This window comes from Homo sapiens, chromosome 11 (assembly GCF_000001405.40).
Source record: "Homo sapiens chromosome 11, GRCh38.p14 Primary Assembly".
NCBI classification, from domain to species: domain Eukaryota; kingdom Metazoa; phylum Chordata; class Mammalia; order Primates; family Hominidae; genus Homo; species Homo sapiens.
Window position 1 is genome coordinate 108,525,402 of NC_000011.10, and position 14,733 is coordinate 108,540,134.

Sequence of the window (14,733 nt, forward strand, 5' to 3'; positions counted from 1 at the left end):
GTGGCCCAGGCATGCTCCTAAACATCCTGCAATACGCAGGAGTCCAAAATGTCAATGGTGCTGAGATTGAGAGAAACCCTGGGCTAGATGATCTCTAAGTGTTTCTCTAGCTCTAAAATTTCTATGTTTTCTGAAATTTCTATGTGTCTTTTGCTTCTTTTAAGCTTATGCAAATGTTTAAGTAGCAGCTTCCTTCTTTTTTAAGTGGAAGATCATCTAATAATATAGTACAACTTCCCATGAAATAGTGGAATCTGCTTGTACCATTCCTGCCTGGCTGCCAACCAAGTGATGAGAAGTTCATCACCTCAAATCTTGGGGAGAATCGCTATGGCATCCATGGTCAATTTCCAGCTCTCTGTGGGGTTGAGGGGATAGAACTTCCTTGAATAAGTAAGAGAAATCTACACGTCATGCAGAAGTCTTATTTTAGATATTACTTTAAAAATTTAGAGATAGTGCTTTCATTATTTTTTTCTTTCTCTCTCTCCTTTTTTAAATTTTTCTTTTTCTTTTCTTTTTTTTTTTTTTGAGACAGGATATCTCTCTGTTGCCCAGGCTGTAGTACAGTGATGCAATCGTAGCTCACTGCAGCCTCCAACTCCTGGGCTCAAGTGATCCTTCCACCTCAGCTTCCTGATTAGCTGGTACTACAAGTGTGTGCCACCACACCTGTCTAATTAAAAAAAATTTTTTTTTTTTGTAGAGACAGGGTCTCACTATGTTGCCCAAGCTGGTCTCAAACTCCTGGCCTCAATCAATCCTCCCACCTTGGCCTCCCAAAGTGTTGAGATTATAGGCATGAACCACTCTTCCCAGCCTCTCTCTTACTTTTCATAATAGCTATTCATGGGGAGCAACAGTCACTGGGTTCCATTTCCCTTATTTGCCCAGCTCTTGCCTTTTAGACTGACATGCTCCAAGCAGTGAAATGGTTTCGTGCAAGTGGGAATCAGGACTGTCAAAGTAAGATGTCTATTAATCCCTAGACTGGATTTTCAAATCCCCAAAACTTCAAATTAGCTCCACTTCTTTCAGGCATTTGCCTTTCTTTTTACATTCCTTTTCTGCCTCAGACCCCGTGGCTCTCAAACGGCAGAGGATGGTCAGTCTGAATACTTCCCCTAGGAAAACCGAGAGTACAGAAGCATCCTGGAGCAGGGCTCTGTCCTCTCAGAGGGCAAAGCTGGATGGGGAGGTCATGCCACTTCAGTCCACTGCTTAGTTAAAGCAGAGTCTCCGCAGGTGGCGAGCAACTGGGGTCCATGTGCAAACAGCACATCAGAGCTGAGGAGCTGCTGGCATTACTGACTTCATGCTGTGGAGTTCCAAAAACCCAGGCTTTCTAATCCTCAGTCTGCTATTTACCAGGGTGACCTTGAGCATGATCTTTAACTCGTTAAACCTCACTTTCTTCATCTTTAAATTGGGGAGAATAATAGTACCTCTTTTATAGAGTTTCTCTGGGGATTAAACGAAATGATCTGTGTCAAGTGCCTGGAGGACAGTAAGTTCTCCATTAGAGTGTAGCAATTTTTAGTGCTGGTGTCATGGTTGGGGCTGAGGCATATATAGGAGAAAAATAGGGCTCAGTGTTATCACCCAGAAAGAAGTAGTGTAAAGAACCTCTGTTTCCAGTTGGGCATGGTGACTCACGCCTGTAATCCCAGCACTTTGGGAAGCTGAGGCGGGAGGATCTCTTGAGGCCAGGAGTTCAAAACCAGCCTGGCCAATATGGTGAAACCCTGTGTCTACTAAAAATATAAAAATTAGCTGGGTGTGGTGGTGAGGGCCTGCAATCCCAGCTAATTGGGAGGTTAAAGCAGGGGAATCGCTTGAACTCTGGAGGCAGAGGTTGCAGTGAGCCAAGATCATACCACTGTACTCCAGCCTGGGTGACAGAGTGAGAAACTGTCTCAAAAAAAAAGAACCTCTGTTTATATGCACTCCTCCTCACCAGAATTTTACCTCATGCTTTTTGCAAAGAGAGAGGGAGGGAGAGAGAGAGAGAGAGAGAAAGAAAAAGGGAGGACCCAGTACTAAGGCTTCGATCCACTGATAAATATACTTGCTCTCCTCCTGCCCGCTTTCAAAACCTTCCTAAAGGTCCCTTCCAAAACTCTCCATTTCTTTTATCTCCAAACCATACGAGTTACACAGGAAGACACAGGAATGTGTAGATCAAAGTTATGACCATGAAAAAGCAGAAACAGAACACTTAAGCTTCTTTATCTTGTCAGCATCCGAACATGGTGACAAATTTAAATTTTAGCCTCTGAGGAAGCATCTCGCTGGGTCAACCCTCATGCGAACTTTTTCCTGCATCTCACCTATGAGAGGCTTCCTCTTTGAGTACAAATGATAACCACACTCAGAAAGGATCTGGTGCAAACCCATCCTGGCTGGCAAACGTGGCTGTGGCTGCCTCTGGCCGCCTCCTCTGCCCAACACCTCAGGGCTGTACAGGGGCAACACGTGGCAAAATATCAGAGATGCCACTGATGGCATAAGTGGAAACATGATGGCCTCACTCCTTCCTGGCAGAGAATTCCAGTATCAAAGTCAACTGGAAGCCAAATATAATTGGGAAAATTTGAACTCTTAGGGAGAAATCCAAGCTTCTAAAATAAATTTAAAACTGAGCCGAGGGGAATACTACTGAAATAGGTAGCCACCCTGGGATTACATAAATTCTGAATTTCTTAGAGTAACCTGTAGTTATCTGGTTACTTACCACAGCAGCTCCCCTCACAGGCATAGGAGGTCCTGCATGGCCATCACATCTGTGGAAATAATTTGAAATGATTTCTTTGAAGAAGAGCCTAACTTTTACCAGGCGGAAAAATCAACAGCACATTTGCCATAAGATTTTGACACCTTGAGAAGATCTATTTCTAATTCACTGTAGAAAGATGTTTCTTCGTTAGTGCATTATTGAAAAAAATTAGAAACTGTTTCCTATGATTACCCAGAATCAATACTTTACATCTTTGTCCCTCAGGTAGCCAAGAAAAAATTACATATTAGTGGATTTGCATTTGAGCACAACATGACACATAAAATATAATAGCTATGTTTGTTGCACTGTTTATTCTGTGTCAGGCCTGATCTTTGTGCGTGTTAATTCATTTAGATACATCACTCTCCTGAGATGGATATTATGGCTACTCCCATTTTACGGATGAGAAGATGGAGGTACAGAGAAGTCAGAATACATAGTTAGTTGCTGAGCTAGGAGTTGGGCAAAGTCTGTCTGGATCTAGAGCCCTCTTTCTTTTCTTTTTTTTCTTTCCCTTTTTTTTTTTTTTTTTTTTTTTGAGATGGAGTTTTGCTCTTTGTCGCCCAGGCTGGAGTGCAGTGGCATAATCTCGGCTCACTGCAACCTCCGCCTCCTGGGTTCAAGCAATTCTCCTGCCTCAGCCTCCCGAATGGCTGGGATTACAGGCGCCTGCCACCATGCCTGGCTAATTTTTGTATTTTTAGTAGAGATGGGTTTTCATCATGTTGACCAGGCTGGTCTCGAACTCCTGACCTCAGGTGATCTGCCTGCCTCGGCCTCCTAAAGTGCTGGGATTACAGGTGTGAGCCGTGGTGCCTGGCCAGAGCCCTCTTTCTTAACCAGTAGAGCATGCTGACTTTTTCTCCTAATAGGAAACAAATTTTCTGTTTCTTTGCATTTTTATTTTAAAGAGCAATTAAGTAACGACCAGATTTAACAGTACATAATTTAAAGTAAAAAAAAAAAGAGAGAAAAAAACCACTACAACAACAAAGATTGCTTTAGGATGCTGACTTCTATAAAGATGGCTGACTTACTAGGAAACCATTTTGGAAGTGAACAAGTATTCTTTTACTATTTGTGTTGCTTTCTCAGATTCAACGAGAAGGTGACAAATTTAAGGCCTAGGCCCAGAATTGAGATAAATTTTAATCTTTTATTTATTTATTTGAGACAGGATCTCACTCTGACACCCAGGCTGGAGTGTAGTGGTATGATCTCAGTACACTGTGGCCTCGACCTCCTGGGCTCAGGTCATCCTCCTACCTCAGCCTCTCAAAGTGCTGTGATTACAGGCATGAGCCACTGCGTCTGGCATAATCTTTTAAATCTACAGTCTCATGCCAAGGGGTTCTCTGTCTGAATTCATGATTTAATAGACTGTCCAGGTGTGGTGGCTCCTGCCTATAATCCCAGCACTTTGGGAGGCCGAGGTGGGTGGATCACTTGAGGCCAGGAGTTCGAGACCAGCCTGACCAACATGGTGAAACCGTGTCTCTACTAAAAATACAAAATTAGCCAGGTGCAGTGGCAGGTGCCTGTAATCCTAGCTACAAAGGAGGCTGAGGCAGGAGAATTGCTTGAACCTGGGAGGCAGAGGTTGCAGTGAGCTGAGATCACACCATTGCACTCCAGCCTGGGTGAAAAGAGCAAAACTCTGTCTCAAAAAAAAAAAAAAAAGATTTAATAGACCATAATGACTGAGAGCTCTGTATGAAATCAGGCCCTTTCCTCCACTGACAGAACAGTAATGGGGATCAAGAGCTAAAGAAACTGGGTCTCTAGATCAGATCAATTAAAAGTGGCAAGGCACAGTTGTCCATTCAAACTTCCAGCAGCTTCATGGTTCATAAAAGTTGAACATAAAACCTGGGAGACCAAATACTCTTATACCCTTAAGATAACCACATGTATTTTATAGTTTAGCTCAGATTTTAGCAGAAATTGAAATGAAAACTATGGATTTTTCCATATAACTCTGAAATACTGGATCTACTAATAATATCTAGGAGTTAAATACTGCTTTTATTTTTATTCTTCTTTTCCATACACATTTATTGAGCCTGTTTTCCTCCTACACTCTACATACTATGTTGAGCTCTTTGGAGGAAACAAATATGACTCAGATAGGGACCCTGTTCTCTGAGAGCTTTTAGGAAACAGCAGATATGTAAAGAGCCAAAACCTAAGTCAAGACTTGATAAGGACGATGAAGAGGTATAAGTAAAATGCATGGGAAATGCATAGGGGCCAGCAAGCACTTCCTGGGACAAACAGGGAAGGCAATAGGAAGATGGCAGTGGAAGTGGTACAAGAGGCTAAAGAATAGCCTGAGCAAAAGCTTGGGCACAGCAAGGGAGGCCGGGGACTGGCAAGTAATCCAATATGCCTGGAGCCAGGACTACATGCCAGACTGTGAAGGTTCTTTCTGGAATCCTGCTGGGCTACAGCCCTCATGGTGCATCCCCACAGTCCGACACTCACCAGCTCACCAGGTACCCCTTCTGATTTGGAGTGATGGCAGCAGGAGCAGGTTTCTGAGAATGGCAGGTGTGTGGGAGATGCAGCTAAAGGGCCAGAGGGTGCCTGGAGCACAGCTGGGATGCTACCACCAAGCGTGAGGGCGTGCCGCTAGTGGAAGGACACATAATTGCCTAAGGGTGCCATGGTTGTGTGTGCTCCTGTGGACTTGGGTAGAAGAGTATAGGACTCAGCAGTTTTGGGGGCCCAGAGTCTCTGCACCCACTCCCAGGCCTTCCCACAAGTTAATTTATGTTTCTCATGTGAAGAGTTTCCACTTAGAGAGTGAATAAAAGCAACAGTGGTATCATGAAAACTATGCTGGTAAAAGGCCCCTGGACTTGGTCATTTCAAGGGATACTAAGTTACCTCATCTTTTGCATTTACCCACAAGTTCTATTGATGCTGTATCTGAGAGATTTCACATATATCCCCACTTCACCACCTCCAGTCATTCTGCCTGACAGTCAACTTTCACAATTTCTCTTCTGGACTCCTCTCCATCCTTCACATCACCAATAGAAAGATATGTCTAAAATGCAAATTTGATCTTATCAACTTCCTGCCTAAAAATCTTACAATAAGGTGTTATCCAAAATCTTAACATGAGGCCCGGCGCAGTGGCTCACGCCTGTAATCCCAGCTGAGGTGGGCAGATCATTTGAGGTCAGGTGTTTGAGACCAGCCTGGCCAATATGGTGAAACTCTGTCTCTACTAAAAATACAAAAAATTAAGAAAATTTTTAAAAATCAAAATCTTAATATGACATAAGGCTTTTCTTTAATCTGGCAAACTTCCCTGGATAATCCAGAACCCTTTAAGTCTCATCTGCTCACATTCCACTCTTCCACAGGTACTCTAGACTTGTCAAATTAATTCCACCTCCATTAAATATTCTCTCATTTCCATACCTTTATAGATACCATTCAGAAATTCTCACTCAATAGAGTAGGATGGGGCTCAAGAATATCCTTTTCTAACTGGAACCCTGGGTGATTTCCCCCCAAGTGTTGGTGGGGCACACTTTACCCACTGAGGAGGACCTCCACCTGGATGGCCACAGGCCATTGAGATCCTACTTGTCCAAAACGGAATCTATGTCCTCCTTCCCTCGCAGTCCTTCCTATCCACCTAATCAACAAATCCTGTTGATTCAAACTCAGAAATCCCTCTCAAACCCATCCACATCTCTACATCTCCCTGCATTTACCCTAGTTAAGACATTTATCATCTTTTGGCTTTTTTGCTGTAATAGCCTCTTAACTATCTTCTGTGTCCAAGTTTTTGTCCCAATCCAATCAATCCTTTATACTTTATTCAGAGTGATCAATATAAACTGAATCACGCCACTTCCCTGCAGTCTTCCATTTGTTCTCAGGTGAAAGTTGAAACTTTTTTCTGCATTCATAAAGCCCTGTATGATCTAGTTCCTACATACTTTCCAGCCTCATAAGTCCTAGATCCCTTCTGCCATAGAGAATTTTTTTTTTTTTTGAGACAGGGTCTTGCCTAGTTGCCCAGGCTGGAGTAGAGTGGCATGATCATGGCTCACTGCAGCCTCTACTTCCTGGGATCTAGCAATCCTCCTACCTAAGCCTCCTGAGTAGCTAGGACTACTGGTGTGCACCACCACACTGGATATATATATATATATATATATATATATTTTTTTTTTTTTTTTTTTTTTTTTTTTTGTAGAGATGGGGTTTCACTACGTTGGCCAGGCTGGTCTTGAACTCCTGCGCTCAAGTGATCTGCCTGCCTTGACCTCCTAAAGTGTTGGGATTACAGGCGTGAGCCATCATGCTTGATCTGGGATTTTTACTTGTAACCCAATGACACAGGACTGTAATGAAACTATTAATAGATAATGATCAACCTCATCATTTGGCCAGTTTCTCTTGAAGCAAGGCTAGCCAATAAAAACTTTGTATGACCATTTAAACAAAACGAAACGAAAAACAAAAACAAACAAAGCTTCCTTCACTCAGACCATCCTCTCTGCCGATGAAAGCCCAGCCTGCCATAGAAAATCAGATAGGCCTCTGAGCCTATGCACATTTTGTTGTTTTGCCTAAAACACTTTTCTACCATCTCTTTGCCTGGATGACTATCTCATACTTGAAGAATCACTAGAAATGTCACTTTCTCCGGGAGCCCTACCTGGACTTTGTCTGTATGTGCTCCCGCAGCGTATGGAGTTTCCCCATCTTAGCATTGTTCTTGTGTGTTTCTCTACTTCCTTCTTGTTGTCCTCACAAGAGTACAGCCTGGGAATGCAAGCCCTGTTTTGTCCCGCAGTGCTGCACATGGTATTCTTCAGGCAGTTTTGCTGAATAAATTAATGAATGCATTCATTCTTACCTGTACGACTTCTGCTCTTCCTCAGATTCTTCATGATCATCTATCTACCTAGTTTCCCCAGTCAGAGTGGAAATTTCATCTCTACTTCTTTCTCTTCCTTACCCACCACATTCATTTGTTAGGTTCTCATGAGTCTACATTCTATTTTTTTTTTTGGAGATGGAGTCTTGCTCTGTCATTCAGGCTGGAGTGCAGTGGTGCGATCTCAGCTCACTGCAACCTCTGCCTCCCGGGTTCGAGTGATTCTCCTGCCTCAGCCTCCCAAGTATCAGGGATTACAGGCACCTGCCACCACACCTGGCTAATTTTTCTAATTTTTAGTAGAGACAGGGTTTCACCATGTTGGCCAGACTAGTCTCGAACTTCTGACCTCGTGATCCACCTGCCTCGGCTTCCCAAAGTGCTGGGATTACAGGCGTGAGCCACCTCGCCCGGCCTACATTCTAAATCTTGCACAAATCTGCCCCTTTTTTTGTTTTCCTTCTTGCCTCTACCTTAGTTTAGGCCACCATTATCTCAGCAATCTCTACTTGGTCTCCCTGACCCTAATTTTGCCCCCTCAAATCTATTCTTTGCACTACAGCTAGAGGAAAGTTTCTCAGTCTCTACACTGTTGACGTTTCTTTGTCGTGGTGATCTGTTGTGAGCATTGTAGGATGTTTAGCAGCACCCCTGGCCTCTACCCACTGGATCCCAATTGCACCCTCCCCTCTTCAGTTGTGGAAACCAAAAATGTTTTCTTTTTATTGAGATAGGGTCTTGCTCTGTTGCCCAGGCTGGAGTGCAGTGGCACAATCACAGCTCACTGAAGCTTGACCTTCTGGGCTTAAGCAATCCTCCTGCCTCAGCCTCCTAAGTAGCTAGTACTACAAGTGTGTACCACCATGCCTGGCTAATTTTTTAATGTTTTGTAGAGGTGCAGCCTGACTATGTTGACCAGGCTAATTTCAAACTCTTGGCCTCAAGTGAGTCTCCCGCCTCAGCCTCCCAAAGTGTTGAGATTACAGGCGGCCACCACATCTGACCCAAAAATGTTTTCAAATGTTGCCAAATGTCCTTTGGGTAACAAAATCACCGTTGGTTGAAAACCATTGAGGTACAGTAATCTCTCTAAAATGAAGACCCAATTATGTCACTTCTCTGTTTAAAAATCATCAATGGATGCATGTACACACATGGAAATATGCCAAAGGGTAGTGTTTGTCCAGATGAACTGGCTTTGGGTGATTTTATCTGTCATGTGTATAAAACAAGGAGAAGAGTGGTATTATTTTAAAAGTATTAATGGTTCCCCACTGTCTACAGGAATGAGTCCAAGCTCCTTAGTATGGCATTGCTCATATAAGGCCCGTGTGTTGTGGCCTCTGCCAACCTCTCCTGCCCCATCCCTTAACAGCCCTCACCTTGTACTGGGTCATTGAACCTCAGTGACCTAGATGAATTCCTGCCTTCTCCACTCTCTGCACCTTGGTTTATGTCATTTCTTTTGCTGAGTGCAGCGTCTGGATTCTTAATTGCCTGGCTTAGTCTTATTTGTTTTTCAAAAATTAGCTCTCTTCTTCCAGGAAGGGATCTTGATCCTCTAGTCTGAGTTAAGTGGTTCTACATGTTTTCCTGGCAGGAACATCATGTGTCACCATAGTACTCACCACCTTCTACTGTAATTGTCACTGTACCCAGCTGTTACCTATGCAGCTAGGCCACATGGCATCCCTGTGTGAATTCTAAAGGGCACTCCTTTCTCAAGACCCCTTCTTGTCATTTGCTGGAAATTGCCATAAGATGTGTACAAATCCATGATGGTCATGATGCAGGTGGCACATCCTAAAGTTCTGTGGCGTGCTGCCTGCCTGACCTATGCAGCAATATGGTGTTCCCTACCAGAATATAAAATCCTCCAGGCAGGGACTTTGCTTTCATTTCACTGTTTTGTTTCCAGCACTTAACATAGGGTCTGATCCAGAGTGGGACAGAAGCTTGATAAATAAATGAAAGGAAAGCTATCACCTGGCTTTTATCCCCCATGCCAAAAATTCTGACAGCCCTTACCAGAGTGGGAGGAAGCTAAGCTGCAGCAGTTCCGAAATTTGAATGAGCACCCAAATATTCTGGAGAATTAAAAATAAATAAGTAAAGCTCCCTGTGCCTTACTTCAAAAGCACCAGGTTGGAGCCTGATTATGTGTCTTCATTTAACAATTGTTGATGAGATTCTAATAATGATCGGTCAGACCAGCTGGGAACCATAAGCCACCCAGGATAAAACTTAAAACCACTCCCCTCGTCTTGTTTCTCCCTCTTGCCACCACAATGCTGCCTTTTATCTGTGGACACCATGCCTGGAATCACAGAAGGAGCATTTCCAAAGAAGGAGCTTGCTTTCTCTGACTTCTCCTGCAATCTAGGTGTCTTAGATTCCCATGTCTTCCAACTCAGACATAGGCACTCAACTAGCAACGAGCAAGAGTACACAGTGGGGCATTTGGAAGGAGGAGGGAGGCAGGTGGAGAGAAGGCGGGTAACAGAGAGAGATCAAGAGACAGAGAGAACAGGAAAAAAAAAGTGATCTGCCCTTTTAATTTTCCAAAATAGAATTTGACCTTTTTACTTATGTAATCTAGAGGTTGCAGCTGGACTGTCTGAGCCGTGTACGACCTATGGGTCAGGCAAATTTGGACATGCCTGAGAGTAGCTAGGTGGATCCACCAAGGCTCTTTGCATCTGAAGGGCAACGCATATCACTTATTCATAGTAGGGAGGGCATCACTGGAATAACTGGGGGTCTGGAACAAGAAAGGAACAACTATAGATTCTGCTTGGCAGCTGAGAAGACTGCATGTATAAGCTGATGACGTACACCATTGGATGCCCTGTGGAAGGCATTTGTGAGATTACGAAGTTACTGAAATTCTATGTTAGGGGCTGAGCACATGTTACATGCACTAGATACCCTAGAACAAGATCCGTGCAAACATGACTTGCAGGAAGATGTTGAGGGAAAGCTACATGTACATATGTATACTTTTCTTGGATTTATTGGCTAGGAATGTATACATTAAAACATGAATGGAAAATATTTTTCTTTTTTCCTGTGGTTGGAATGGAGCCAATCATTTACAAATAGGATTAAAATCATAACGGGACAGTTTGGGAAGTGTATATGTTTGAGAAGAGGAGCAAATCATATTTGAGGCAGAAGTGGTAAATCTTTTTGCCTTTTTTTTTTTTTTGAAACAGGGTTTCACTCTGTCACCCAGGCTGGAGTGCAGCGGCTCACCGTACCCTCCACCTCCCAGGCTCAAGTGATCCTCCTACCTCACCCTCCCAAGTTGCTGGGACTACAGGCTCGCACCACCATGTCCAGATAATTTATCTTTTTGGTAGAGATGGGGTTTCACCATGTTGCTCAAGCTGGTCTCAAAATTCCTGGGCTCAAGTGATCCTTCTGCCTTGCCCTCCCAAAGTGCCGGGATTACAGGCGTGAGCCGTCATGACTGGCCTTTCTTTTTGGATTTTTACAAATTCACCAAGTCTCTGCGTTCCCATGGCTTTTTATCTCTGATATTAGGAAATCAGAGCTTGAAGATACCATATACTTTTATTGGCTGGGCCTTAAAGGGAACAAGTGAATCTGGTGAAATGATGAAGTCCATGTTCTTCTGGGGAGGGTTACCTATTATCCAGTGCATTTCTCAGTTAGAACCAAAGCTTAAAAGAGAGAAGAAAAGTTTCTGATAAGCACGTTTTAAAGTGCTGATCAGAATTCTTTCGCCTTGTATTGATTCTTTTTCTCTGATTTGCAAAAGATCCTCTAAATTGCTTTACTGATTTGTTTTCCAGAACACTGAGTGTGACAGTCAAGCCCTTGACGGCTTCAGCAAGTAGAAGCCTGACTGTTGCCTGCAGAGGATGACTGTGTGTCCCTGGGCCATTAGTCAGTCCCTCCCAGGGTGCTCGTAGGTAAGGAGGAGGTCCTGAATCACAGTCCATTTTGCAGATTGATTTTCTATTTCAGATCAACACTGCCAAAGAAAGTTAGGTTCTACCTGAGATTATAGAGCCCTTCAGAATGTATGACCTGATTTATATCACCTGTCGTAATACAATGCCCCCTTTAATAAACACTTCTTTTCCCACATATAGGATTCATATCCAAATATTTAGGTCACATTCAAATTTAAAAATAAAAACGACATGCTTTTATATTTCATCTTCTGAAACCTCTTAGGAGCAAAACCCAGTGCCTTTAATTATATTCTGCACCAGCAGAATTAATAAATACTTATCAATATCAATAATAACAAGATAAATGTTAAATATTCCCATTTATGTTTTGAAAGTAAAACGTATTTGAAGATGACAAGTTCTGAAAACTGCTAAACACACATAAATATATTTAAATGATGAAATTTATTTTATTTCTGCATGTTGTGTCTATGTTTCAATTCTTCCTGTTAAAAGAGAGCTGCAAGTATTTTGATATCTAAGAAGGACATTTGCTAAACAGAATGTTGCAAGAGTTTTAATTTTTTCCAGTTTGGTCTATAACCGAAAAACATGATACCCAGAATGAAGATTATAGATCTATATCTTCTTTGATCCACCTTTGCAATAATTTGCAATATGAGCTTGGAAATAACTTGCCCATAGAATTAACAGTTTCCTCAACTTTTCCCAGTTTACTGATATTAGATGGTTCAGCTATACAACATTCTGCCTTAAAGAAAATCACCTAAGATACAAATGATATCACAAATCCTAGCTATACCACGCAGTGGAAATATTTTTTTCTCCCTCAAATAAATATTTACTGGGCAAGAAACACTTCTCAATTTTAAATCCCCCAAATGTGAGAATCACTAGTGTCTCAAAAATTTTTACAGAGAAAAACGACTCACCTATTTGAAGAGTATTTCCTTGCTAGTGACTCTGGTAGCTACAGTCACATAAATCTACATTGTGGTCTGCTCTTTCTTTCATCAGACAAAAACAGCCTCGGGTGAAAGCTGGAAGTGAAAAACCCTCCATTCACCCAAGAGGGGAGGACAGTGGTCTGTTAAATCCAGCAGCCTCATCACACAACCCACCAGCTGCTTGCTGCCTCTTGTTTCTCAGCGACAGTGACCTCCAACACCTTTTATTTAGTGCTGCAATACACCGTGTGGTTTGACGGCACGCGGAACATATCACGTGCCAAGCCAACACCTTAAGAGGGTGGGAAGCTTTGAAACCAGGAAGACATGCCGAAAATATTTAGCAGTCAGCTCAATTGCACTTAAGCATAGCCTTGCTTGTTTTTCACAAAGTAATCCAACAACATAATGAGTCAAGTGAACTGATTTGCACAGTTCTAAACTGGGAACCATCTGGAACTAAGTTTCCACTGCTCCTAAAGCTTCTCCTCCCTCACCTTATACATTCTGAGCAAACACATGGGAACAGCCTTCAGTATTTCTAGTAACAGTAATTACATTTCCTCCCTCTGTTTTAGAATTCTATTTTTCTCTAGTCTCTTTGTTCATCTCACATTTTCTCTCATCTAGTCGTTACCCCAACTCTCCTTATGACCAGGACGTGACCAGGACGTGACCAGGACACATACTCTGCAAAGAAGGAGTAGTTTTTATTTAAATATATCTTCCTGGACAGGACATAGGCCAGACTCTTGGAGCAGTGGAAAAACTGGCAATCATTATTTCCCAATATTTAACCCATCACTCACCAAATGCACCACCAATGCACTCTGCAGCTCGTTAGAAGTTGGATTTCAGGTGAGCCACATTTCATGGTTTCCTAAGAACTTTGTCACTATGCAAGTTAAGTCCCATTTCCTTTGTTCTTAATACCAATTGAATTGAAATTCTAAGAACAAACATTAAACATTTTGAACACAAAACAGGCTGCTGGCCTCTGATATCGGATAACAAATGGGCCGTAACATGACCTGAGTTTAACTCACCCTTTCTGTCCCAGTGATGGAAGCTTTGAAGTCTCCTTTCCAGATTTCCTGAATGAGAACAGGGAAGCAAATGACGATCTGAAGCTCATCCGGGAAGAAAAAGGTGTCGGCTTTTTTTGATTAGTTACATTTTTAGATCTTGATGTAGGTAATTCTATCGGATCTAGAAAAAAAAATTGTAAAAATTTTGCATCAATTACTTCCAAGTAAATATACTTGAAAGAATGAAGCCTTTGCTCTTGTGTCACTTTCTCCCTCTTATGCAGACTAGAAACAGGGCAGGCAACCTCACATGAAGACCTCAGGGATTAAGGCAGTCAGAGCAACCTCTCTCCTGCGCCTCTGATGGTTCTGCTGCATAGAGAAAACTCAAATTAGTAGGGAATCTTTCCATGTGTACTGTGAATCAGAGTTCCTAGAGTGTTCCTCCTCTCACCCAAGCTAGGAAATCAGGGACCCCATTCAATTCTCATGTTCCTTAACCATGCTGTCCTTCAGAAGTTTTTATTTCAGTACCTTAAAACCATGGTGATAGATACATACTACATAACTTCTTATACTGAAGAAAGTAAAGGAAAAGGAAATTAAGCCATTTAGATTTTTCTTCATTCCTTTCCAAAATCTCTCTCTGTGGATATGTATTTGCTACACACATGGTTTACATATGTGTTTGCATGTAACATATACAGGGTGAGCATCCTAAACCCGAAAAACTTGAAATCAAAAATTTCCCCAAAATCCAAAAAAATTTGAGCACCAACATGATGCTTAAAGAAAATGCTCATTGAAGCCTTTCAGATTTGGGATTTTTGGATTTGGGATGCTCAACTTTTCAGCTTATATAATGCAAATATTTCAGGATCTAAAAAGATCTGAAATTGGAAATACTTATAGTCCCAAACATGTCAGATAACGGATATTCAACCTGTTTATGTATAATATATATGTATAGATAATATATGGGTATCAAAAATTCAAAGGCAACATCAACATATACAAAATCCATAATATTGGCCAGGCACGGTAGCTCACGCCTGTAATCCCAGTACTTTGGGAGGCTGAGGTGGGCGGTGCATCACCTGAGATCAAGAGTTCGAGACCAGCCTGGCCA

General features: G+C 42.3%; 1 protein-coding gene across 24 annotated transcripts in view; it reads right to left on the reverse strand.

The window, feature by feature from the left end:
• EXPH5 (exophilin 5) overlaps positions 1-14,733 on the reverse strand; it is a 102,102-nt gene that overhangs the window by 19,967 nt on the left and 67,402 nt on the right. For 19 of the 24 annotated variants that reach the window (XM_017017398.2, XM_017017397.2, NM_001441060.1 and 16 more), the window contains 2 exons: positions 13,623-13,785; positions 2,735-2,783 (listed from right to left, as the gene is read on the reverse strand). In XM_017017398.2, coding sequence (XP_016872887.2) covers positions 2,735-2,783; positions 13,623-13,785 — 212 coding nt within the window. Of the gene's footprint in view, positions 1-2,734; positions 2,784-12,561; positions 12,777-13,622; positions 13,786-14,733 lie in introns of those variants that run through there. The other 5 variants (NM_001441076.1, NM_001144764.2, XM_047426628.1 and 2 more) reach the window with 4 other exon arrangements.